Raw genomic sequence first — 26991 nt, 5'->3', positions numbered from 1 at the left:
ATTTTCTTTTTTCCTTGACATCCATTTTATTTCTCATGAAAACACTTTTTCTTATGCATTTTCAAACAACCTTTCTGTCTGCTATGGATCCCTCAGTTTTCTAGGAGGTGAGGAAATATTGAAGAGCAAACAGACCCACCCTCTGCTCTCAGGCCAACTTGTCATCCCTTACAGTGCATGTGCTCCTGGCTCATCCTCACTCTCCTCCTTAAGGCTCTGTGGGGACCCGGGCATAAGCCTTCCCTCAGTTCGTTCAGTGCCACTCAGGCCTGGCTGCGAAGATACAGATGGTATATGTGAATTACGTATAAGTAACTATATTTAAAATTATTTTTCCCTGGTGTGTCATTGTGCCAGCGTGTTTGGATTAGAAGTGATTTCCAGGAATCCTTCCCTGCGTCTTCTAGTTTCGGGGGGCTCTTGGCCTTTCTGGACTTTCATGGATCATGACCACATCACTCTAATTTCTGCCTCTGTCTTCCTGCACCTCACCCCCTGTGTGTTGTGTCTTCTCTTCTCTCTGCTGTGAGGACAATTGTCATTGGATTTGGGGCCTATCCAGATATACCAAGATGATCTCATCTCAAATTCTTTTACTTCATTACATCTGCAAAGAGCCTTTTTCCAAATAAGATCAAGTTCACAGGATCTAGGGATTTATATATGGACCTGTCTTTCTTGGGGTCCAACATAACCCCCTACATGGTGTAGATGAAGAAAGAATATTTGCAATTGATGAATCCAGGTGATGGATACTTTCATATTTGTTATATTATGGGCAATTTGAGTGACGCAAAGAGGATAGCATATGCAAATAGGGTTCCCGGATTTGTCAGATAAAATGCAGGATACCCACCTAAATGTGAATTTCAGGTAAACGATAAATAATATTTCAGTATAATCTGGTTTCATACCGTGTTTGGAACATAGCTATAACTAAAAAATTGTTGATTGTTTGCCTGAAATTCACATTTACATGGATGTCCTATATTTTATTTGGCAACCCAGTAAGAAAACGGTGGCATCAGCTTGCCCTTCACAGACATCCTCTCCCAGCTATGCTCACAATAGGGTTTTTTCAGTTGCCCTAGTCTTTGCATCCAACTCATGAAAAAAAGTATCTTTAAAAAGCCAGTTTCTGCTGACTTGCAAAAAGAGCAAAATCTAGGTGAAATGTATTGTTTAAACTTTGATTACCAACCTTGAAAAGGAACATATTAACCAGTGTCTTCTGATAAGCAGATCACTTGCCTCATGTCTTAGAATCCAGTAGGTGGCCCCTTGGCCATGAAATGTGTGGGAGTGGCTTTTCCCTAACTTGACCCTTCTTTCAGTGGGAGGGAACTATTGAGAGGAACAAAGAGCTTATAAATACATTAGGACCTGGAATTCGGTTGTCCAGCCACAAAGGTGACAGCATTTAACAAAGTAAGTACTGATCTTATAAATCTCTCTACATTGCCTCACACCCTCCTCTCTAGCCTCCTAGAAAAATACACTAATATGTGTCCTTAGCACAAGAAAAAGTTTGTTTTTACTCATATCATGCCATCTTGGTGTGTTTGGGTGACAGTTCAAGAACTGTTTATTTCTTTTCTGTTGGATACATCTTTACAGAAATGTAAAAATGAAGAGTTTAGAAAACCAGGGCCTCAGCATTTAAAGGTATGGGAAACAATGACATGAGGAGAAAAAAGAAATGGTAGCATTTTAAACAATCTGAGAATAATCAGTGCTGGAAGAAGTGGCAATGTATGCAAAAATTTCTTTATATATATAGTCAACACACAATTGTAAATTGTGACACTGTAATTCTATATTGGCTGTGAAAATTCAAAACTAAGGTTTATTATAATTAGAAAAAATTAGTTTGAATGTTAGGAGGACTAGATTCTAGTTGAGCCTCTGCCACTAATTAGCTCGACGACAAGTCATATTCTGTCTCTGGAGTACTACCAACTCATGGCCAATATAGAGAATAGCTAAGAAAGAGGCTCTGACTGTTGCTGCGAACTGTGTAATTCTTTGAACGGAGATCTGTCCTGCCCACTCTAGGATATTTCTAAGCATCCCTGAAGGGGTGGCCTGCCCCTCCACACCTGTGGGTGTTTCTTGTTGGGTGGGATGAGAGACTGAGAAAAGAAAGAGACACAGAGACAAAGTATAGAGAAAGAAAAGTGGGTCCAGGGGACCGGGGCTCAGCATATGGAGGACCTGCGCTGGCGCCAGTCTCTGAGTTCCCTCAGTATTTATTGATCATTATCTCTACCATCTCAGAGAGGGGGATGTGGCAGGACAATAGGATAATAGTGGGGAGAGGGTCAGCAGGAAAACGTGAACAAACTCACGTCTCTGTGTCATAAACAAGGTTAGAAAATGTGCTGTGTTTTGATGTGCACATACATAAACATATCTGGTGCATTAAAGAGCAGTATTGCCGCCAGCATGTCTCACCTCCAGCCTTAAGGCAGTTTTCTCCTATGTCAGTAGATGGAACATACAATTGGGTTTTACACCAAGACATTCCATTGCCCAGGGATAAGCGGGAGACAGATGCCTTCCTCTTATCTCAACTGCAAAGAGGCCTTCCTCTTTTACTAATCCTCCTCAGCACAGACCGTTTATGGGTGTCGGGCTGGGGGACTATCAGGTCTTTCCCTTCCCACGAGGCCATATTTCAGACTATCACATGGGGAGAAACCTTGGACAATACCTGGCTTTCCTAGGCAGAGGTCCCTGCGGCCTTCCGCAGTGTTTTGTGTCCCTGGGTACTTGACATTACTGAATAGTGATGACTTTTAACAAGCATACTGCCTTCAGGCATTTGTTTACAAAGCACATCCTCCATAGCCCTAAATCCATTAAACCTTGAGTCCACACAGTACATGTTTCTGTGAGCACAGGGCTGGGGGTAGGGTTACAGATTAACAGCATCTCAAGGCAGAAGAATTTCTCTTAGTACAGAACAAAATGGAGTCTCTTATGTCTACTTCTTTCTACATAGACATAGTAACAGTCTGATCTCTCTTTCTTTTCCCCACACATCCCTGCCCTCTACCTATCTGATTTGTAGCCCCCCTCCCTCTCTGCAGATATAGCAACCCAAAATGTCTCTAGACCTTGCTCAATGTCCTCTGGAGCAGAGGAACAAAATCCCCCTGGTTGAGAACCATGGGACTACATGACCTCATGGGGCTAAGCAAGGCTGTGTTACCGATGTGCCCCACTGCTTGGACATTCACTGAAAACTTCCTGTTAATCCAGGTGGGCTGATTAGTGAATATCATTGACCTCTGTACAGGAGCTAAAAAGCAAAGAGAGAGAGAAACAGAGAGCCATCATATGACAGATTTGATATAAGTCTGGATTCATATAAAATCTTATTCCTACTAGAGTTCTACGGACAAAATATAGAGAACCAGAGAAATGGATACAAGATAGATAATAGATGATGAAGAGACAGATTACAGAGAGATAGATACATAGAACGATTGATAGATAAAATAATACATACATGGATGGGTAGACAGAGATTATAAACAGATACATGTACATAGATTGTTGGTTGGTAAAATAATTGGTGGATAGATAGATCAAAGAAAGAAGATCCATGGGCTACTCAATGTGTCCAGAGCCTCACCCATCTTCCAAGCACTGGGACAAGAGCAAACACCCTGTGTTCCTACTATGATTTTTTTCTACATTATCTCATTTAACTTTCTCAACAACCCTCAAAAGTAGAAATAACTATCTCTAATCTAAGAAGAGAAAATTGAGGCTCAGAGATTAAACAACCTACTGCATTTATGAATCTCATAATGGAAGGAGTCATGGTTTATCTCATTCTCCCTTCTCTCTGATAAGAAACAGTGTCACTGGGACAACCTCAGAGACGTAACTCCTTTAATTTACTCCTGGAAATATGAGACCTTATAGTCCTTTCAAAACAAGCCCATTTTTTAATTGATGTAAATTAATTATTGATGTAAAGTAATTACACTAGTCCTCAACTCACTCTGGTTTTTAGGTTGTCAAAGTAGAGAAAGGCACACTTTTATTAGTTTTTTCTTCCAAGCAAGCCCCTGAAAAGTTGCTAACAGGAGGAACTCAGGAATTAGATGTTCCCCTCTCGCCCTCTCCTTCCAACATTTATTTGGCTAATATACATTGAATAGGAAAATACAAAACAACTTCTCAGACAGGAGCTGAGAGCCAGGTTATGAGGTGGAGTGGAAAAGCTCCGGACCTGCAATCAGAAGTTCAGGCTGACCCAACACTCACCACGTGTGCAGCATGAGACAGGTGCTTTAGCTCTCTGAAATTCAGTGTACCCATCTTTAATTAGGATAATAGGAGCCATTTCCCAGGGTTGTTGCAGAAGGTAAACACACTCCCTAGATATTGACTATGAATGAGGAGCATGTGTGTATGACCCATGGCAAATCCTTGAGCTCTCTGGTTCTCATTTTCTGTTGACCCAACAAAGCTCAATGGTAACTTATGTCTCAGTCTTAGCCTGACCCTTGGAAACCTCACATTGAGGAAGTGATATGTTAATTATCAGCTGGAGTGTTGTGATAAAATATTATGTAAGATAAAATTTCACTTCCTTTTGAAACATGATCCTCGATCAATGGCTAAGAGAGTTTATTTTGGGGATTGGAATTATGACACTGTGAACTCTAGTACATAACAATTAAACAAGCACACCCTACGCTTTCATGTGAACTTCACTCTCCCTTTCATTCTGTCGAATTATGCTATTTCCATTTCCCAAGTTACTTTAATTTACTCCTGGAGTTATCATAGAAAGTACAATGTCAAAATATCTAATTACAAAACAGGTGAGTTGATTCAGTATGATTTCAAAGAATTCTTTACTTTCCAAAGGTTAAACTATTGACTCCCATATTTTAAAATGTAGACATTTAAAAGATTTTGATGCCTAATTTTAATCATGCATACTTTTTTAGAAATACATTAGTTGAGGTTGGGTGCAGTGGCTCATGCCTGTAATCCCAGCACTTTGGGAGGCTGAAGTGAGTGGATCACCTGGGGTCAGACTTTCGAGACCAGACTGTCCAACATGCTGAAACCCTGTCTTCACTAAAAATGCAAAATTATCCAGGTGTGCTGGCATGTGCCTGTAATCCCAGCTACTCAGGATGCTGAGGCAGGAGAATCACTTGAACCTGGGAAGCTGAGGTTGTAGTGAGCCAAGATCGCGCCATTGCACTGCAGCCTGGGCAAAAACAGCAAAACTCTGTCTCAAAAAAAAAAAAAAAAAAAAAAAAAAAAAAAAAAAAAACAAATAAATACATTAGTTGTTAAAGGCAAGTATATTTTTGTTCCACACTCAACAACCACAAAACTTTGCAAGAAGAATCTTAATGTTTAATAACAGAGCTGGGGGTTTGGTGATAAAACGCAACTATTCCTAAGTCCTGGCACTGGAACTCCTTCTTTCAATGAGTCCTGTGTCTTTCCATTCACATTCATGATACAATTAGTTGCATCTGTCTCTGCAGCCACTGGTTTTCATTCTCTGATACTCTGCTACATTCCACCACCCAAACAGCCTGGCATAGAGCAAGGGCTATCAAATTTCACTGATAAGCCCAGTCTCTAACCATTTACAATGACCAAGTGAGCATGCACACATGCAAAGATCCATACACACAGTATACAAATAACTGAAACTAACAACTCATGAAACATTACTTACCTTTCAACATGTCATGCTCACTGATATTTTCTATTCTTTTCTTTTCTATTTATTTTTTAAAGTAATGGGATTTCACAATCTGCTGAGAGATTACCATGCATATTTGAGAAACACTAACATAGAAAATAAGACTCAGTATTTGGTTTTTAATAGCAGTGACCCTGGATCCCAGATCTATCATTTACTCTGAGCAAGTTACTTTAAAAACCTCAGTATCCTCAAATGTAAAATGAGAATAACAACCACATTAACCTTAGGTAATTTTTGTAGGATAAAACAAAGAGAAGTTTAGAAGAATGATCAGTGTGTGACTGATGTTGAACAAATGCTAGCTCCTTCCATATTGCAAAATTAATGCAGCAACATCTCTTCTTCCAGCTTATAAAACAAAATGCACCCCATAGAGTTAGAATACAGAATTCCAAAAGAAGCAAGGGATAAACAATCTCTGTCTCTTGAAAGAATTTGGATCTTCTAGCTACAGTTAAACAAGTCTGAGGCCTAATTTCTGGTTTTGATCAAATGCAGTCTCACAGCCAAAGAGCTGAAGAGTGATTTAGCTCCCAGCCGGTCCTCCCTGTCAGTGACATCCTCTGGTTTCATGGCCAGTTCATGGGTTCCCAGGGCCTTCACCCAGCTGGCTTCCAGGCATGATTTCATTTTAGTCCTTGGTGTAGATATTCATGTCCATCACCAACCGGAGTGTGACTGTGAACATTGTATTTCTCTGATGTTCCATTTCATTAACGAAAAAATGGAGATAATCATTTCATGGGACTATAAGGAGGGTTAAAGATATAAAATATTGAAAGGGACTAGCATTGAGGAAGGATCACTAGGAAGTTTTCAGTAAATATTAGTTCTTGAATTCTTCCTCTTCCCATTAACTCCTATACATGTATTATTACCACATACTCTCACCTCTTAGGCTGCCAAGAAAATTCAGAGTTAAACAGTGAAAACTTGAGACTGGTTTGCTGGAATCTGAGGGTGGCCACTGCTGGGTAATAATTTGAGCCAAGAAAACATTCCGGGAACTCCTCCAACACCGTCATGAAGAAGGCAGGTTCTTCTTCAGCATTGTTTGTGGTTTTCAACCATACATCCTAAAGTACATTTTTGATTCTATCGTTTCAATTATTCATTCATTCATTCATTCATTCACTCAGGCTTAGAGAAACCTCCAGGAGACTGCTACCATGGCAGAGAAGCCCAAGCTCCACTACTCCAATATACGGGGCAGAATGGAGTCCATCCGGTGGCTCCTGGCTGCAGCTGGAGTAGAGGTAGGTTCTGAGTTAGGTCATCTTAAGTCAGATTTACGATTGCGTTATCACATACTTTTCCCACAGAAACTATGAGATGATTACTAACTGAAGCATTGTGCCTTAAATAAAAAGGGACTGTAATTAAGAAAAAGATGAACAGATTTGACCTATTAATTCTTAAAATTTCTTCTCCTCTAAAAGCATACATATTAAAATACATTTAAGACACTAATCACAAAGTGCAGAACTTAAGTGGATTAGAATTTAAACAAACTGTAAAAAATAATTTATGGCATTTATACAACAATTAGAAACACAAATATCGATTGAATATTTGAGGACATGAAATAATTATTGTTAATATTTCATGTGTGATAATGTACTATGGCTGTCTTTAGAATAGTTAATGTGTTTTAGGAAAACACATTGAAGTATTTAAGGATTAATCATATGGATCTGGGATTTCCTTGGAATTATTACAAGAGGAGAAGTAGGTGGGCATATAGATGAAACCATATTGGTTTTGATTGATAATTATTGATTCTAGGTGAGAAGTATAAGGAGAATCATTATGCTTTTCTGTTTATATTTATTCATGTTCATAATTTCCACAATAAAAAAATAAAAATGCATAATATTAAAAAATGATTGTAATTAGAGGTAAAATGCAAACTACAAATGAGAGATGGAAGGGAGTGGATTGTAACAAACTACCTATTAAAGATTGACTACATTCACAGCAATTATTTACTTGAGCACTTATTAATTCCAGGTTCTGTACTCGGTCATGGAGATAGTGAACAAGACAGACACAGTCCCTGCCCTGGGGCAGCCTACGTGTCTATGAGGATGCAGAGAAATAAACACGTGGTTAAAATGAGGGGAGGAGGCTTCTAGAACACACAAGCATTCCCCAATGCCACAAAACCACATCAGAAACCAGAGGTTTTCCTTAAAAATAATGCTAGTGTGGGACCCTAATTCCTTTATTAAATTGAGAATTTTACCCTATTGTGTCTCACGTACTTCAGAAGAGAAAATTACAGTTGCAAGTGTGAAAGCTGTGCAACAGTGGCGACCTATGTCACCCTTAGCAGGGTTCCTGAGAAGTGGGGCGATACAAATTACAGCAGAGGCTCCTTGGTGGCAGAATATTTGATGGCCATTAGCCCATGTCATGCCTCATGCTGGGGACACACAAGGTTGTGGTCTGATCTCACTTGGAGACACAGGCTTTCCTAAGATATGACAACACCATAACTAGAAGAACTGCTCAGTGCCTTTTCTCCAGTGATGTCCCTCTCAAAACATGACCTAATCATAGACATTCATATCAAGGTGGAGGTGAAGTGAACTAGAAGATTGAGCAGCTATGTGCTGTGACCCATGCACTTTTCTCAATGAATTAGGTCTAAATTTCCAAATGGCCATGACTAGCCCCCTCTGTGTACCCTGCCAAACTCAGAAATCTTATATTCTCCAAATGATGCACCAGATAGAGGCCATTCAATTTCACAGGTCTATAATAGAATGAACTAACAAGAACATATTTACTGTTTCTGCTTCCAGTTTGAAGAGAAATTTATAAAATCTGCAGAAGATTTGGACAAGTTAAGAAATGGTAAGATCAACCTCTAAGTTTCTCTAATGAGGGTATCTAGTAGAAGGTACACGGGGAGGTTTGCGCAGCCGGCAATGTCTATGGGTGTGGGGCATGGTATTTGTACATGGTGCAGAGGGAGAAAGTGGTTAAAATGGAAGGGATGTGGCTCCTTGAGCAAGTCTGGCAACTCTCTCCAGGCTTAAAGGACCAGACCTCTCAGAGTATTTGCTAGAGGAACAATCTCCCACCCCTGAGAAAGCCCTTTCTTTGTTTTCATGCTTGGGGTACTGTGAGTGAGCAGTGGTCATCAGCACAGGATCCCATACAGCCCTCTCCATCCAAGCACATGCAAGAACATGCATTAGACAAAAGGAGGAGGAATAGATGTGGCCACTGTCTTGAGTTTTTTCTTTCATGGGGGGAGTGGGACTGGGTAACACTGTAGCAATATCGCAGACTTTGAAGAGCACAGAAAGGGACCCTTATATAAAAACCTCTCAGAACCTGCCTTAAATATCATAAACACCATGAGACTTACTCTGGGAACATCCTGTTTTAAATGACATCTTGTTGCCAGTACTATTGTAACTTGTCCCAACCTCTTCCTAAAATATCCATGAAGATAAATCAACACAAAAAATTCAAGAGTCCCACTATGTATCTGGAGGGGCAACAAAAACATATATGAAATAAATGGATAAAAACTAAAAGGAAACTTCTTAAGAAAAAGAAGAACTACAGGAAGCTTTATAAACATATTGTTTGGACTGGGTGCAGTGGCTTACACCTGTAATCCCAATTTGGGAGGCTGAGGCAGGTGGATGACTTCAGTTCAGGAATTTGAGACCAGTTTGGCCAACATGGTGAGACACCATCTCTTCTAAAAATACAAAAATTAGCCATGTGCAGTGGTGCATGCCTGTAATCTCAGCTATAGAGAGGCTGAGATAGTAGAATCGCTTGAACCTGGGAGGCAGAGGTTACAGTGAGCCAAGATCACACCACTCCACTCCAGCCTGGACAACAGAATGATACTCTGCCTCAAAAAAAAAAAAAAAAAGTTGTTTCAAGTGAACTCTTACCAGGCAGTAATTTCTTTTTCGTTTTACAAATTTAGTCATTTCAACAACCATTTTTTTTCATCCTGAAATGGTGGGTTTCATAGACACTTCACTCTCCTTTTTTTTCTTCCTCTTAAAGATGGATATTTGATGTTCCAGCAAGTGCCAATGGTTGAGATTGATGGGATGAAGCTGGTGCAGACCAGAGCCATTCTCAACTACATTGCCAGCAAATACAACCTCTATGGGAAAGACATAAAGGAGAAAGCCCTGTACGGTATATTTTCTGTTCTTCCATCCACAGAGAACATAGAGTGATTTAGGTCCTTCCTTGAGTGGGTGGGACCATGGCAGGGTATCAAGACCAGCAGCAGGCTGGGCCTTGGGCATGCACGCTGAGGTCCAGTATTGCAGAGTCCCATGGAGATGAGGGAACAGTGAACATGGGGAGGGTTCAGGCGAGGGTGATTCTAGAAGAGGATGCAGTCCATGGACACAGCACCCTGACAAAGGTTTCCAAACTCTCATAAACCCAATGAACTGAGGAGGATGGGGAATCATGTTTCCAGGTGCTCAGGACTTCAGAGGCTGGACCCCGGCCAATGGCTTAGGACAGGCATAGAATATGTGAGAGTCTGTAGATGAAGGACTGGGGAGGGAAAGCTGCAAAGAAACCAAGTCTAAGGTCCCAGTAATTCCAAGTATGATGAACAGGAACCTAAATTACCAACCAATTATATCAACTGGAATACTTGAGCAGGGCTAGTAGAGGCTGGCACCAAGGATACTGGAGTTACCTTGACACATGGATAGAAGGCCGAAACAGCCAGATTGATTCAATACCAGCAAAGCCAAGGGGTCTCCTTGTTGTTGTGATGAGACTGCATGATTCCAAATAAATCCTGAATGAAACTGCTGGCAGCTCCTCAAAAACTTTAATATGGTATTACCGATGACCCAGCAGTTCCTCTAACAAGTATATCCCCAAACAATCGAAAATACATCCACACTATATATTTTACATAAGTGAATAATGCAAATAACAATATTCATAGAATTCAAAAAGTGGAAACAACCCAAATATCCATCAATCAATAAATGGAGGAGAAAAATGCGCCTTAGCCATGCAATGGAAAGATATTTGGTCATGAAAAGGAATGAAGTACGAATGCATGCTACAAGATGGTTAAACCATAAAGACATGTTACATAAAATACACGAGACACAGAAGGCCACATATTATAGGATTATTTTAATATGAAATGTCCAGATATTCAAATCCATAGAGGTAGAAAGTAGATTAGTGATTGCCTGGGGCTAAAGGAGTGGGGCTTGGAGAAAAATGAAGAATACCGCTAATGGTACAGATGTCCTTATCAAGGTGACAAAAATAATTCTGCAATTAGACTGTGATTATTTTTACAGAATTCTGTGAATGCACTGAAAACCACTCAATAGTATAACATAAGAGGTGGCAATTATAGTATGTGAATATGCATCAGTAAAGCTCTTGTTTTAAAAAGTATTGTGAAACTCCAGTTTGACACAAAAGAAGAAAAGTTTGCACGGTTGTAACTGTACAGAGAATTTCACCAGGGAAGGGGTTGGCTCTTAAGAAAGGCACACATGGCTAGAGTTGGGCAACAGCACATGGAGAGGGCTGTGGAAACGTTTTTCATGGGTGTAATTGGAAGAACTGCAAATATGGGGCATAGAAGCAGCCCTGGGAGCTGTAAAATGATGAGAGAGGACAAGGAATATGGCTGAGATGGCTGTGCCAGGGACTCTCTTAGGATTACTTAGGAAGCAGGTCTTTGGCCATTTGACTCACACTAAGTTCATGCACAGAACAAACCACAATGGAGATGATAAATCCTGGCACAGCATCAGTGGGTACTGGCAGTGATTCCACCAATTTCTCTCATGACTGTGACCACCGATGATCTTCTTCCTGTATTAGGTCATGCGTGTAACAAAATTTAGAGAGCTATCTACCTTGATAGGCTGTTTTAAGAAATAAATGTTAATATACCTGTAAAACTCAGAGCATAATGACTATATACCTGTAAAACTCAGAGCATAATGACTAGACTATAAAAGGCACTCATTGGAGGTGAATTATTTTGCCATCACCTGATACTCTACTCTCTTAGGTTTTTATAAACCTATAAAATCTAAGGCAAAAGATATTTGACCATTTGGTTGTTTTTGTCTTTCAGGATTGATATGTATATAGAAGGTATAGCAGATTTGGGTGAAATGATCCTTCTTCTGCCCTTTAGTCAACCTGAGGAACAAGATGCCAAGCTTGCCTTGATCCAAGAGAAAACAAAAAATCGCTACTTCCCTGCCTTTGAAAAAGTAAGTGAAGCTGTTCAGTGTTTTGGGGAACTGAGTTTAGAAGCCAGTAGAAAAATAGTGGCTGGGCATTCCTGGGGCACTGATCTTCACTTTCAGTGATACTTCCTGGACACCAATGCAGCACTCTGACTCTCAAGGCATTTTATGAAAATAGACTTGGAGAAACAATTGTATCACTTATACCCAAGCTATAATCTTCCAGTAAAATTTTAATTTACTGAACCCCAATATGGAATTATCTGTTCAACAGAATTTTGTGTTCATAAGTAGAATGTGGGCTGTGGAAGGCTCTGGACCACACTAGAGTTGCTGTTCAGTCTATGGAACCCCATGGACTTTGAACAGGGGCATGATGAAAGTGATCCATCAGAAAACATTCTGGCACCATATGCAGGAAGACAGGAGACCAATTGCCCAACCAGAGAATATTGCAGTGTTTCAGGGATCAGTATTTTTTAAAAGGAGAGTGACTGTGGGATGCAGAGGAAGATTCTGTAAAATGCATTTTATAGTAAGTTGCAGACATCAGAGCAGTTCACTCCTAAACGCTTCAGCTTGCAGATTATAACATAGTGCCATTTAGGAACCAGAGTCGATGCTGTAAAAAAGATGATGAATTCAGGTTCACCCAGGTTTCCTACAGATCTCAGGGAGATAGAGCAGGGAATGAGGAGAACAGACAAGGAGAAATGAGGACTCTGAAATAGTCTCCTTCTGGGGGAAGAGTGTTGTCACGATGGTGGAGTCACTGCCCAAGGGAGATTGGAGCGGGAGACAGCAGAATGTAGAGCCACATCCTGAATGTGAGGGCTCCACACTGCAGGGCCTGGGGCAGACAGAACATGCGGCGGCAGGTGCTAAGCCCTTGGCCCATGTGGAAGAAGCAAGCTGGGTGGGTAGTGTAGACGCCACAGTGATGTGGATGAGAAGAGAAAATGGGAGGCTGAGCTCCAACTGAGGAGTGAGTACAGTTACACTTCTTACTATCTCATTCATTCAGATAATGTGGAGAAAGCTCGGGATTTCTGCATCCATGCAGTAAGGCAACAGAGGTGGGGAAAGTCAGGGTGGAGAGGCTCTGAAAGAAGCAGGGGTCCCAGCCTGGGTGGGCATGTGTTCCTGATCTGATTCCTCCCATTCTCCAGGTCTTAAAGAGCCACGGACAAGACTACCTTGTTGGCAACAAGCTGAGCCGGGCTGACATTCACCTGGTGGAACTTCTCTACTACGTGGAAGAGCTTGACTCTAGCCTTATTTCCAGCTTCCCTCTGCTGAAGGTGACCCATTTCACAGTCTTCAGAGAGGCAGACCCACATCTCCCATCTTGGGATCTTGTATCTGGGCCCTGGGACTGAGCATGTTTTGACCCCAGCCTTCTCCAGGCCTTTGGTGCCCCAAGGTCTCCAAAATGAGCTTCCAGGCTCCAATTTTGAGGAATGAAAACACTTTTGTTATGGAAAGGAAATTTGTAGTGCATGCTACCCCGCAAAGAGTATTTTGCCTTTTATTATGGAAAGGACCCAGGGCCCAGCATGTCTCCCCATCCCTCTATTTCAGTGTGGTTTCTGTTCCTGAGTTCTCTGTGATGTCCTTTATCCCATATGTGCCCACATTGAGTCAGTCTGAGCAGAGCCCTTTCCATCTGGTTTCCTCCCTGGGCTCCGGCTCCTGCTGTCAGACATTTTGTTCCTCTCTGCCCAGCTCTCCAGCACTCTGCCCCCGACAATGTATCTCTCACTGAGAAAAGGTGGTCCCATGGTTTGTCTTTACTATTTTCTATAACATTTTCCTTTCCAACTCATTTTCCCATATTTTCACTTCTGCTTAGAGACTGATCTGTGCTGATATCAAACAAGCACATTAGTTTTTCTTGTCTTATACAAGAGTCACTAATCTATAGGATTAATATGTAAGAAGAAAGATAGGGATGACTGAACTGATTAAAATTTCAAGACATCTTTGGGGAAAATAAAGTGAGCTACATGTTCTTCCTCTTATCTTCCTTTCTCACTGGGTGTCTGTTTCTGCCTTCACCCAAGTGGAAGCGACTCACTTGGTCTTTGGCAGGAGGGACTCAGATTCCCTGGGTCATGTTAATGGGGGTGTCAGCCCTTGACTTGTTGTTTTAGTGAGGCTGTGCTTTGTGGATTACAGGCCCTGAAAACCAGAATCAGTAACCTGCCCACAGTGAAGAAGTTTCTACAGCCTGGCAGCCCAAGGAAGCCTCCCATGGATGAGAAATCTTTAGAAGAATCAAGGAAGATTTTCAGGTTTTAATAAACCAGCCATAGAGGTCAAGAACATGCAAGACCAGTATTCTAAAGTTTTGCAACAATTAAGTGCTTTACCTAAGTGTTGATTGTGCCTGTTGTGAAGCTAATGAACTCTTTCAAATTATATGCTAATTAAATAATACAACTCCTATTCACCCACTTAGTTAAAATTGATTTCTTCTCATTAGGATCTGATGTGAATTCAGTTTTCCAATCTCCTCCTAGCCAACAATTTTCTTGGAATTACAAATTCAGTAAAAATGGAAACTATAAATTATGTGGTTTGTTTGACTTTTCCAAGAATTGCCCTGTAACATACAATTTGTCATACAATCTATTAAAATGCCAATGTAAAAATGCACCTCTGACATTTTCAGGTATGCACAGGAGAAGAGTTACCATCCTGGATAATGGCATAAAGACATTTTCTTCTTTTCCTGAACAGTCATTTTATTTCTGATAAAAGCATTCTTTCTAATGCATTTGCAAAACAACGATTCTGTCTGCTGTGGATTCCTCCGTTTTCTAGGAGGTGAGGAAATATTGAAGAGCAAACAGACCCACCCTCTGCTCTCAGGCCACCTTGTTGTCTCTTACAGTGCATGTGGTCCTGGCTTATCCTCACTCTGCTCCTTAAGCCTCCATGGGGTCCCAGGCATAAGCCTTCTCTCAGTTCCCTCAGTGCCACTCAGACCTGGGCTGCCAAGATACAGATGGTATATGTGAATTACATACAAATAACTATATGCAAAATCATTTTTCCCTGGTGTGTCACTGTGCCAGAGTGCTTAGATTAGGAGTGCTTTCTAGCTCCACCCCCATACTGGTCCTGTAATGCTAATCTCTCCCAGGACACCTGGGCTTCTGCAATTTGAGCTCTCCTCCTCTTAGAGGGAGCTTCCCCAAGTTGGCAGAGGTGGTTGAGGGAGCAGACAGACACACAGGCTTCCTACCTGCAGCTTCACTTTGCTCTAGTCTCTTCTCCACTTACAACCAGAGTAGTTTTTCTAAAATGCAAATTGGAAAAAAAAAATCACAGAATTCTTCAGGGAATCCTGACTGCATATAAAATCCATCCTCACACCTGTCCTCACTCCTTGATCTTCAGCCCAGTCAACTCTCTGAACATGGTGAGGCCTCTTGCCTTCCTGCCTGGGTGCATTTGCTACCCCTACCTGGCAAGCTCCTTCCCAGTGGACACACTTAACACTACCTCATTGCTTCCCAGGAGCACTGGGCTGTCCTCTGCCCTCCACAGAGCCCCAGTGAGCCTCTTGTAGGGAAAAGAAAGAGAGATCAGACTGTTACTGTGTCTATGTAGAAAGGGAAGACATAAGAGACTCCATTTTGAAAAAGACCTGTACTTTAAACAATTGCTTTGCTGTGATGTTGTTAATTTGTAGCTTTGCCCCAGCCACTTTGACCCAGCCACTTTGACCCAACCTGGGGCTCACAAAAACATGTGTTGTATGAAAACAAGGTTTAAGGGATCAAGGGCTGTGCAGGACGTGCCTTGTTAACAAAATGTTTACAAGCAGTATACTTGGTAAAAGTCGTTGCCATTCTCTAGTCTCAATAAACCAGGGGCTCAATGCACTGTGGAAAGCCACAGGGACCTCTGCCCTTGAAAGCGGGGTATTGTCTAAGGTTTCTCCCCATGTGATAGTCTGAAATATGGCCTCATGGGATGAAAAAGACCTGACTATCCGCCAGCCCAACACCCGTAAAGGGTCTGTGCTGAGGTGGATTAGTAGAAGAGGAAAGCCTCTTGCAGTTGAGATAGAGGAAGGCCACTGTCTCCTGCCTGCCCCGGGAACTGAATGTCTCGGTACAAAACCCTATTGTACATTTGTTCAATTCTGAGATAGGAGAAAAACCGCCCTATGGTGGGAGGCAAGACATGTTTGCAGTAATGCTGCTTTGTTATTCTTTACTCCACTGAGATGTTTGGGTGGAGAGAAACATAAATCTGGCTTACGTGCACGTCCAGTCATAGTACCTTCCCTTGAACCTAATTATGACACAGATTCTTTTGCTCACGTTTTTTGCTGACCTTCTCCTTATTATCACCCTGCTCTCCTACTACATTCCTTTTTGCTGAAGTAATGAAAATAATAATCAATAAAAACTGAGGGAACTCAGAGGCCGGTGCTGGTGCAGGTCCTTGGTATCCTGAGTGCTGGTCCCCTGGGCCCACTATCGTTTCTCTATACTTTGTCTCTGTGTCTTATATCTTTTCTCAGTCTCTCATCCCACCTGACTAGAAATACCCACAGCTGTGGAGGGGCAGGCCACCCCTTCACCTCTAATAACACCTGAGGGCCACTGTGTTTGCTCCCCTGTACTGTGAGCTCGTGGTGTGGGGCTTGGCCTGCTGGATCCCCAGTGCTTCATCACCAATGGACAATGACATCTGCACAGACCCATGCACAGCTCTATGCAACTCCAGAACCTGGGTATATGAGATTGGGCTTTGAGAACTCACAAACCCCCACACACTCTGCCTGTCTCTATTCATTCATTAATTTCTAAAAAAAATGGACTCATATCCCTCAAATGCTTTGTAAGGACTTTGCTTGCATGCTGACCAAAATAAACAAACTGCTAAGAAATTTTTATGGGACACTTACATGAACTAGAATGCTGAAGCTTTGATGAAATTAGGGAATTATAGAATTTTAATATGATAAGAGATTATCATATTAAACACAATCATAGTGTGATTATGTTTAGAAAAGAAGTTCTTCCTTCCTAGAGATGAATACTAGTATTTACAGACGAAATGATATGCTGTCTGGGATTTGCTTGAAAAGAATCCCCTGGTAGTGGAGGGAGTATGTGGGAGTTTGTATCATTTTCTTGTGGCTCCTGTCACAGATTCCTACAAACTGGGTGGCTTGAAACATCAGAAAGGCATTTTCTTACAATTCTGAAGGCGAGAAGTCTGAAGTCAGGGTGTGAGTAGGGCCACATTCCCCTGGAAGTACTAGAGAACAATCCTTCCCTGCCTCTTACAGCTTCTGGCGGCTCTTGGCATTTCTGGACTTTCATGGATCATGGCCACATCACTCTACTTTCTGCCTGGGGCTTCCAGCACCTCACCCTCTGTGTGTCTGTGTCTTCTATTCTCTACGTTGCAGGGACATTTGTCATTGGATGTAGGGCCTATCTGGATATACCAGGATGATCTCATCTCAAATTCCTTAACCTCATCTGCAAAGAGCCTTTTTCCAAATAAGGTCACATTTACAGGACTCAAGGATTTGGACATGGACCTCTCTTTCTTGGAAGCCAACATAACTTAATCCACTGCCAGGCATAGATAAAAAAATGTTGCTGGCAATTGATGAATGCAGGTCATGGGTACCTTCAAGCTTGTTATATTATTCCCTCTACTTTTGTATTTGCTAGAATTTTTCCATGTAAATTTTTAAACTATCTTATTTTAGGAGCTCCTATGATGTCCATGTTTTGTCCCAGACAATAAGGACTGGACTCAAACAAGAAGGCTCCGCTCTCAAGAACTCAAGGTCTAAGGGGAAATCTGATATTGAATACATCATGTCAAATTAATGCAGGGAAAGACACAATAGAGAAAATACAGCAGGAAGTGAAAGTAGAGTATTCCAGTCAGGACAAATGCCATGTGCAAAGGCCCAGAGGCCAGGAAGGGTGATTTGAGCAATGCAGAGAGGAAAGAACATAAAAATAGGGTGGCCAGATTTGGCAGATAAGATACAAAACAGCAAAATAAATGAGAATTTTAGATAAACAAGCAATACTTTTTTAGTATAAACATGTTTCCTACAGTGTTTGGGACATACTTATACTAAAAAGTGACTGATCCTTTGCCTGGAATTCACATTTACCTGGGTGCCCTGTATTTTATGTGGCAACCCAGTGTCTTCCAGAGTGCCATCAGCCTGCCCTTCACAGACATGCCCTCCCAGCTATGCCCCCAGCAGAGATTTCTCATCTGCCTTAGTCCTTACATCCAAGTCACGAAAAGTGAGTTTCTTCAAAAAGCCAGTTTCTACTGACTTATAAAGAGAGCAAAATCTGCTGAAATTTTTGGTTAAACTTTTATTGCCAACCTTGAAAAGGAACATATTAACCAGTTACCTTGTGATAAGAGGATGACTTGCCATTTTTCTTAGAATCTAGTAGGCAGTCCTGTGGCCCTGAAACATGTGGGAGTGGCTGTTTTTAACTTGAATCTATTCCTTTCAATGGGAGGGAGCTACTGAAATGAACGTGTAGGTTATCAACCACATTAGGACCTCAAATTAAGTTGTTGAGCCACGAGGGCGATAACCTTTAACAAAGTAAGTACTGATCTTATAAATCTTTCTACACTGCCTCACACCATCTCATCTAGGTCACCAGAAAAATATTTTTAAATGTGTCCTTAGTACAATAAAAAAAAACTGCTTAATACTCACATCAATGCCTTCTTTGTGTGCTTGGATGACAGTTTGAGTTGTGCATTCAGCTGCTTTTGGATATATTGTGTCAACTTAATAAACAGAAAGAGACTCTTTATATGGGAACAAAGTTTTGTAATGGGTACGTGTGTACCATAGTAAACCATGTATGTCCTTAGGGAGATAAAGGAAGAAAAAGATTTTTAAAGCAAAAGAATAAGAAGGATTAAGTAAATGTTTTGAAATACTTATCATTCACTGCAAACATCAATAACAAGGGTGACACCAGGCCAAGTTTGAACAGGGAGTTGCTGGACAGATGCCTTTTCAGGAGTATTTTTTGTAAAAGGTTTTGATGACCTTTGTGAAAAGTTGTGTCACAACTGATTTTCCTATTTATATTAAATACCTGCATCCACTCTGAGCTTCTGATCAAATTGAGACAGCCTTGTTGCTGGCTGCCATTCCAACCAATGTCTCTTGTCTCAGGACAAGGTGTAATTTACTCCAAGGTTTAAGTTACTGGATGTAGATCAATAACAAAGAATAGTTTCATCAATATTAGATTGATTTAGATTTTTTTAAAGGATGACATGCTGAAATAGCAGCTATCTCTCAAACTTCTAATAATTAGTTATATTTAATGAGCACTTACTAGAGACCTGCTACTTTTCTAAGTGCTTTGTATGACTTTGCAATTTAGTCTTCATACCAACCTACCAATCTGTACCATAGGTACCACAAGTATATCCATTTCATAGATTAGAATACTCAGACACAGAGAGATTCAGTAATGTGTCCAAAGTCAAGAAGCCAATATATGAAAATGGTGATATTGAACCCACAAAACCGGTTCAGAAACCAGAGATTTTGGTTAAAAATAATGTTAGTGTGGGGACTCTAATTCCTTTCTTAAATTGAGATTCTACCCTATGGTGTCTCATTTACTCCAGAAAAAGGAAATTATAGTTGCAAGAGTTAAAGCTTTGCAATAGCTATGACCTATTTCACACTTAGCAAGATTCCTAAAAAGTGGGGTGAGGTAAATTACAGAAGAGGCCTCTTGGTGGCAGAATCTTTGATGGCCATTAGCCCATGGCATACCCCATGCTAGGGACACACAAGGTTGTGGTCTGATCTCACTTGGAGACACAGGCTTTCCTAAGATATGACAACACCATAAGTAGAAGAACTGCTCAGTGCCATCTCTCCATTGACATCCCCTCTCAAAACATGACTTAATCATAGATAGTCATGAGATCGGGGTGGAGATGCAGTGAACTGGAAGACGGAGAAGCTATGTGCTGTGACCCATGCCATTCCCCCAATGAATCTAGTCTAAATTTACAAATGGCCACAACCAGCCCCTCTGTGTGCACTGCCAAACTCAGAAATCTTATATTCTCCAAATGATGCACCAGATAGGGGCTATTCAAAGTCAGAAGTTTATAATGCTATGGAATGAACTAACGAAAACTCATTTACTGTTTCTGTCTCCAGTTTGACCAGAAATTTCTAGAATCTGCAGAAGAATTGGACAAGTTAAGAAATGGTAAGATGAAGTCTCTAAGTACCTCTGATGTGGGTATCTAATAGAAGGCACACAAGGAATTTTGAACAGCAGGCAATGCCCATGTGTGTGTGGGGTGGTATTTGGGCAAGGTGGAGAGGGAGAAAGTGGTTAAAATGGAAGGGATGTGGCTCCTTGATCAGGTCTGGCAACTCTCTCCAGGCTAAAAGAACTAGACTTCTCAGAGTATTTGCTAGAGGAACCATCCCCAGCGCCCTGAGAATGCCCTATCCTTATTTTCATGCTTTGGGCACCATGAATGAGCTGTGTTGATCAGCTCAGGATCCCATACAGGCCTCCCCATCCAAGGATACTCAAGGACATAGATTAGATGAAAGGAGGAGAAATAGATGTGACCATTGTCTTGAGTCTTTGTTCTTTCATGGGGGGTGTGAAAAGGTAATATTGTAGCAGTATTGCAGGCTTTGAAGAGCACAGAAAGGGACCCTTACATAAAAACCTCTCAGAACCTGCCTTAAATGTCACAAATATGAGGCTTATTCTGGGAACTTCTCATTCTAAATGGCATTGTGTTGGCAGTCCTGTTGTAACCTATCCCAACATCTTCCTGAAGTATCCATGAACATAAATGAACACAAAAAAAGACAAGAGTTCTACTATGTATCTGGAGGAGAAATAAATAACAAAAATGAAACAACATGATAAAAAGTAAAAGGAAGCTGATTAACAAAAAGAAGGACTACAGGAAGCTTTTTAAAAACGCACTTTCAGGTGAAATCTTACCAGGCAATAATTTCTTTTTCATGTACAAATTTAGTCATTTTCACAACCATTTTTTTCATCCTGAAAGAGTGGGATTCATAGTCATTTCACTCTCCTTTTTTTTCCTTCTTTGTAAAGATGGGAGTTTGATGTTCCAGCTAGTGTCAATGGTTGAGATTGACAGGATGAAGCTGTGCAGACCAGAGCCATTCTCAACTACATTGCCAGCAAATACAACCTTTATGGGAAAGACACAAAGGAGAGAGCCCTGTATGGTATAGTTTCTATTCTTCCATCAACAGATTTAACACAGGAGTGATTTAGGTCCTTCCTTGAGTGGGTGGGACATGGTAGGGGCCTTCAGCATGTACGCTAGGGTCTAGCATTGCAGAGACTCATGGAGATGAGGGAACAGTGAACATGGGGTGGGCTCAGGCGAGGGGGAGTCTAGAAGAGGATCCAGTCCATGGATCCAGCACCCTGACAGAGGTTTCCAAACACGGATGAACCATGAACTCAGGAGGATGGGGAATCATGATTCCAGGTGCTCAGGCCTTCAGAGGCTGGACTGGAGCCAACAGCTTAGGACAAGGCATAGAACGTTTGAGAGTCTGTAGGTGAAGGCCTGGGGAGAAAAGGTTACAAAGGAGCTGAATCTCAGGTTCCAGTAAATCCAAGAATGATGACCAGGGACCTAAGTTACCAGCCAATTATATGGACTGCAACACCTGAGCAGGGCTAGCAGAGGCTGGCACCAAGGATGCTGGGGTTATCTTGACACATGGTTACAAGGCTGAAACAGCCAGATTGATTCAATACCAGCAAAGCCAAAGGGTTTCCTCACTATTGTGATAAAACTACATGATTCCAAATAAATCCTGAATGGAACTTTTGGCAGCCCCTCCAAAATTTTCCTGCAGTATTACCAATGACCAAGCAATTCCTCAACTAGATATATTCCCAAAAGAATAAAAAATACAACCACACTAAATATTGAAGATAAATGTACAATGCAAATAACAATATTCATAGTATTCAAAAAGTGGAAACAAGGCAAATATCCATCAATCAATAAATGGAGGGGCAAAATGTGCTTTAGCCATGTGATGGAACGATATTGTCATGAAACAGAATGAAGTACTGATGCATGCTACAAGATGGTTAAACCATAAAGACATGTTACATAAAAGAAACAAGACACAGAAAGCCACATATTATAGGATTCTTTTTGTATGAAACGTCCAGAATATGCAAATCCATAGAGGCAGAAAGTAGATTAGTGTTGCCTGGGGCTAAAGGAGTGGGGCTTGGAGTAAAATGAAGAATACTGCTGATGGTACAGATGTCCTTATCGGGGTCATAAAAAATATTCTGGAATTAGAATGTGATGATTTTTGCAGAGTTCTGTGAATGTGCTAAAAAGCACTGAATGTGGCTGTATGTCAATAAGCTGTTGTTTTAAAAAGTATTGTGAAACCTGAGTTTGACACAAAAGAAAAAGTTTGCACTGGTTGTAACTGTATAAATAATTTCACCAAGGAAGGGGATCTTTTAGGTGGAGTCTCAGGTAAGGCACACGTGGCTAGAGTCGGACAACAGCACATGGAGAGGGCTGTAGAATTATGTTTCATGGGAGTAACTGGAAAAACTGCTAATATTGGGCATAGAAGTGGGCCTGGGAGATGTAAAATGATGAGACAGAACAAGGAACATGACTGAGATGGCTGTGCCAGGGACTCTCTTGGGATTACTTAGGAGGCAGGACTTTGGCAATTTGACTCACACTAAGTTCACACACAGAACAAACCACAATAGAGATGGTCAGTCCTGGCACAGCACCAGTGGGTACTGGCAGTGATTCCACAAGTTTCTGTCATGACTGTGACCACCGATGCTCTTTTTACCTGTATTAGGTCATGTGTGTAACAAAATTTAGAGATCTATCTACCTCAATAGGTTGTTTTAAAAAAATAAATGTTAATATACCTGTAAAAATCAGAGCATAATGACTAGACTATGAAAGGCAATCATTGGAGGTAAATTGCTTTGCCACCACCTGATGCTCTATCCTCTTAGATTTTTAAACTATAAAATCTAAGGCAAAAGGCATTAGAAAGTTTGGTTGTTTTTGTCTTTCAGGATTGATATGTATATAGAAGGTATGGCAGATTTGAATGAAATGATCCTTCTTCTGCCCATATGTCAACCTGAGGAAAAAGATGTCAAACTTGCCTTGATCGAAGAGAGAATGAAAAATTGCTATTTCCCTACCTTTGAGAAAGTAAGTGAAGTCATTCAGCGTTTTGGAACACTGCATTTTGAGGACAATAGAAAAACAGTGGCTTGGCATTCCTGGGGCACTGACAAACAATTGTACCGCTTACACTCAAGCTATAATTTTCCAGCAAAGTTTTGTTTTATTTTTCTTTATTTTTTAGGAGATGATATCTTCTTCTGTCTCCCAGGCTTCAGTGCAGTGGATCACTGCAGCCTGGACCTCCTGGGCTTATGTGATCCTCCCACCTTAGCCACCTTCTGAGTAGCTAAGATTACAGGCATGACCCACTGTGCCTGTTTAATTTTTAGAATTTTTTAAGAGATGAGGTCTCTCAATGTTGTCCAGGCTGTTATCACAAAATTACAATTCACTAGACTCCAATATAAATTATTTATTTAACAAAATTTCATGTTCATAATTAGAACATGGGCTGTGAGAGGCTCTGAGCCACAGTAGAATTTGGTCTACAGTCTTTAGAACAACACTGGATTTGATTTAAAAGGAACATGATGAATGGAATACATCAGAAAATATTCTGGCACCATGCGTAGGAAGACATGAGACCAACTGCCCATTGTTTTGTTATTGTGGGGTGTTTGTTACTGTGGGGCGTTTCAGGGGTAAATATCCAAAAACGGAGGGTGGCAGTGGGATGGGGAGGAAGATACTTTTATGCATTTCAAAGTTGCAGACATCAGTGCAGTCCACCCCTAGACACTTCAACTTGCAGATTATAACTGTAGGTTAGGAGTCAGAGCCGACGATGCAAGAAAGATGATGAATTCAAGTTCACCCAGGTTCACTTCAGATCTCAGAGAGAGCAGGAAATGAGGAGAGCAGACAAGAAGAAATGACTCTGAAATAGTCTACTCCTGGGGGAGGAGTGCTGTCATGAAGGTGGAGTCACTGCCCAAGAGAGATTGGAGAGGGACAGTGCAGAGCGTAGAGCCACGTCCTGAACGTCAGGGCTGCATGCTGTTGAGCCTGGGGCAAACCGAACATGCAGCAGCAGGTGCCGGACCCCTGGCCCTTGTGGAAAATGTAAGCTGGGTGGGTGGTGTGGATGCCACAGTGATGTGAAATAAGAAGAGAAAATGGGAGCCTGGGGTCCAAGTAAGGAATGAGCAGAGCCCTCGTTCTCACTCTGTCATTGAATCAGGGACCATAAACAAAGTTCAGGATCTCTGCTACCTCAGGAAGAGCATTTTGCCTTTTATCATGGAAAGGACCCAGGGCCCAGCATCTCTCCCCATCCCTCTATTCCCCTGTGGTTTCTGTTCCTGAGTTCTCTGTGATGCCCTTTATCCCAGATGTGCCCTTGTCTTCCCACACCAAGTATGTCTGAGCAGGGCTCTTTCCATCTGGTTTTCTCCCTGGGCTCCAGCTCCTGCTGTCAGACATTGCGTTTCTCCCTGCACAGCTCTCACAACACACAGCCCCCAACCTTGTATCCCTCAGTGGGAAAAAGTAGCCCCATAATTTGCCTTTAACATTTCCTATCTTCATTTCTGACTCAATTTTCCTGTAGTTTCACTTCTGCCTAGAGACTGATCTGTGCTCATATCTCACAGGCACATTCTTTTTTCTTGTCTTATACAAAAGCCATGAATTTACAGGATTAATGTGTAAGGAAGTGTGTAGGGAGACTGAATTGAATAGTCTTAAAGACATCTTTGGGGAAAATGCTAGCGAGCTACATGTTCTTCCTCTTATCTTTGCTTCCGGCTGGGTGTCTGTTTCCCTGCCTCTACACTGGTGTTGATGGAGGGGACTCAGCTGGTCTTTGTGTAGGAGGGACTCAGATTTCCTGGGTTGTGTTTATGATGGTGTCTGCCCTTGGCTTCACTCTGAGGCTACATTATCATGCATTGCAGGCCCTGAAAACCAGAATCAGCAACCTCCCCACAGTGAAGAAGTTTCTGCAGCCTGGCAGCCAGAGGAGGCCTCCCGTAGATGTGAAAGCTTTAGAAGAAGCAAGGAAGACTTTCAAGGTTTGAAAAAGAAGCCATCGAGGCCAAGCACATGCAAGACCAATTTTCTAAAGTTCTGCAACAATGAAGTGATTTACCTAAGTGTTGATTCTGATTGTTGTGAGACCAATAAAGTTTTCCAAAGTATATGCTAATTTAGTTAAAGCTCAACTATGCAGATGTGGTTGCAATGCAGTCTTACTTGGCATTGACCAAATGTAAAATCATGCCTAGAATGTCACTTTGGATTTAAATAACAGGTGAGAAAGTTACTTGGACTCTGACCTGTTAAAAAAAAAAGAGTCATCATACAACAACTGTTACATAGCTTGTCAAAGAATTATGTAGAAATTTTCATACGACTATTTGGGTTATACAAAAATAGGCTTTTCCTTTTGTGTTTTGAAAAGCTTTTTTTTAAGAACCATTTTCCTTCGGGCACCCAATATTTTTCCTGTTTAATTAAGGAAACAATATCTATTTTTATCTAATATAAAATACTCACTGTTCCAGGAGCTGGATAAATAATGATTAACAAGCCATAATGGGGTTACTTTAGTGAGAGAGACACAAAAATAGGTAACTCCAATAAAAAATCATGTATACCATAAGTATCCCATTCCTAGGACTGCTACAAAAAATTACCGCAAACTTAGTGACTTAAAACAATAGAAATTTATTCTTTCACAGTTCTGGAGGCTATGAATCCAAAATTGAGATGTGAGCAGGGCGGTGTTCTCTCTGAAGGCCTTAGGGAATTCTCCTTTGTTTTTCTTGCCTCTGATGGTTCTTGGCCATCGTTGCCATTCTTTGGTTTGCTTCATGCATCACTCTAATCTCTGCCTCCATCATCACAGGCCATTCTCCCTGTGTGTGTCTCCATCCAAATTTTCCTCTAAGGACACTAGTAATAGGATTATAAATAATAACAGCATTTTGTCCTCCAGTTTTCCTGTTTTCTTTCTGGGTCCTGACTGAAAATCATAGTGTCTTGACCACTCTGAAACAGCCAAGCTTTAGGTTTTTCCCAGCAGGCTTGAACCCAAACGGAGGCCTTGAACATTTCCAGGCACTGATAAAGGTGTCTTGGTTGTTGCCCAAAACATTGAAAGAAACTGGCCCTGGCCATGAGCCAGACTCCTTAAACCCTCATGTTGAACCTCATATCCTGAGCTCCTTGCTGCACACATACCTAGGTAGAATAGCCCTTTTCTCTCACTGTCTGTCGTGAGCATTACTGCAGCCCACTGTATGTTTCCCTCATAAATGCTTTGGACTGATCACTCTGGTGTTTAGTGCTGGTTCTTTAGAATCCCAACCAGTGCCATCTTGAGAAGATTTGGGGCACTCCCTTGTGGGAATTTCCAAGCCAAGCGTTCATTGGAATGAAAAAATTGGCATCGTCAGGAGGATTCAAAAGAAATGGGCTGAGGAAGACGAACTGACTAGGGAAATCCCAGGATGGCCACAGAGCTCTATGTGGAGCTTTGTGGTCCGCTTGCTAAATGCTTACCCCACACCTCCTAGGCTGATGGAAGGTTTAAAATTGCAAATATGGGGTAAAGAAGTCCGGTGATAGGCTGGGCCTGGTGGCTCACACCTGTAATTCCAGCACTTTGGGAGGCTGAAGCAGGCAGATCACTTGAGGTCAGGAGTTCGAGATCAGCCTGGCCAACATGGTAAAACCTCGTCCCTAGCAAAAATACAAACATTAGCACCAAAAATACAAACATTA

At 41.4% G+C, this 26991-nt stretch overlaps 1 protein-coding gene and 1 pseudogene across 3 annotated transcripts; both read left to right on the top strand.

Moving 5' to 3' along the window:
• GSTA2 (glutathione S-transferase alpha 2) lies at positions 1397 to 14785 on the top strand. 2 transcript variants are annotated; one of them, XM_047418684.1, is made up of 8 exons: positions 1397 to 1428; positions 6654 to 6787; positions 6895 to 7011; positions 8563 to 8614; positions 9797 to 9929; positions 11877 to 12018; positions 13164 to 13295; positions 14173 to 14785. In XM_047418684.1, the coding sequence occupies exons 3-8, from the start codon at positions 6925 to 6927 to the stop codon at positions 14293 to 14295; spliced, it is 669 nt and encodes a 222-aa protein (XP_047274640.1). In that variant the 5' UTR covers positions 1397 to 1428; positions 6654 to 6787; positions 6895 to 6924; the 3' UTR covers positions 14296 to 14785. The 2 variants fall into 2 exon arrangements, with proteins under 2 accessions (XP_047274640.1, NP_000837.3); NM_000846.5 differs by lacking the exon at positions 6654 to 6787.
• GSTA7P (glutathione S-transferase alpha 7, pseudogene) lies at positions 19713 to 25409 on the top strand (annotated as a pseudogene). The gene has a single exon (NR_033760.1). The product of NR_033760.1 is annotated as a glutathione S-transferase alpha 7, pseudogene (transcript).
• The last annotated feature ends 1582 nt before the right edge of the window (positions 25410 to 26991 follow it).

The sequence above is a fragment of the Homo sapiens genome, chromosome 6 (genome assembly GCF_000001405.40).
Source record: "Homo sapiens chromosome 6, GRCh38.p14 Primary Assembly".
In the NCBI taxonomy this organism is placed as follows: domain Eukaryota; kingdom Metazoa; phylum Chordata; class Mammalia; order Primates; family Hominidae; genus Homo; species Homo sapiens.
Note: the sequence above shows the minus strand (reverse complement) of the source record. Positions and strands in the feature narration are given on the sequence as shown.

Bases quoted from the DNA above. Each gene is read 5' to 3' on its own strand.
- GSTA2 (NM_000846.5), top strand. From the start codon at position 6,925: ATGGCAGAGAAGCCCAAGCTCCACTACTCCAATATACGGGGCAGAATG. The intron at 9,930-11,876 runs GTACGGTATATT...TTTGTCTTTCAG, and splicing joins GACATAAAGGAGAAAGCCCT to GATTGATATGTATATAGAAG. The intron at 12,019-13,163 runs GTAAGTGAAGCT...CCCATTCTCCAG, and splicing joins ACTTCCCTGCCTTTGAAAAA to GTCTTAAAGAGCCACGGACA.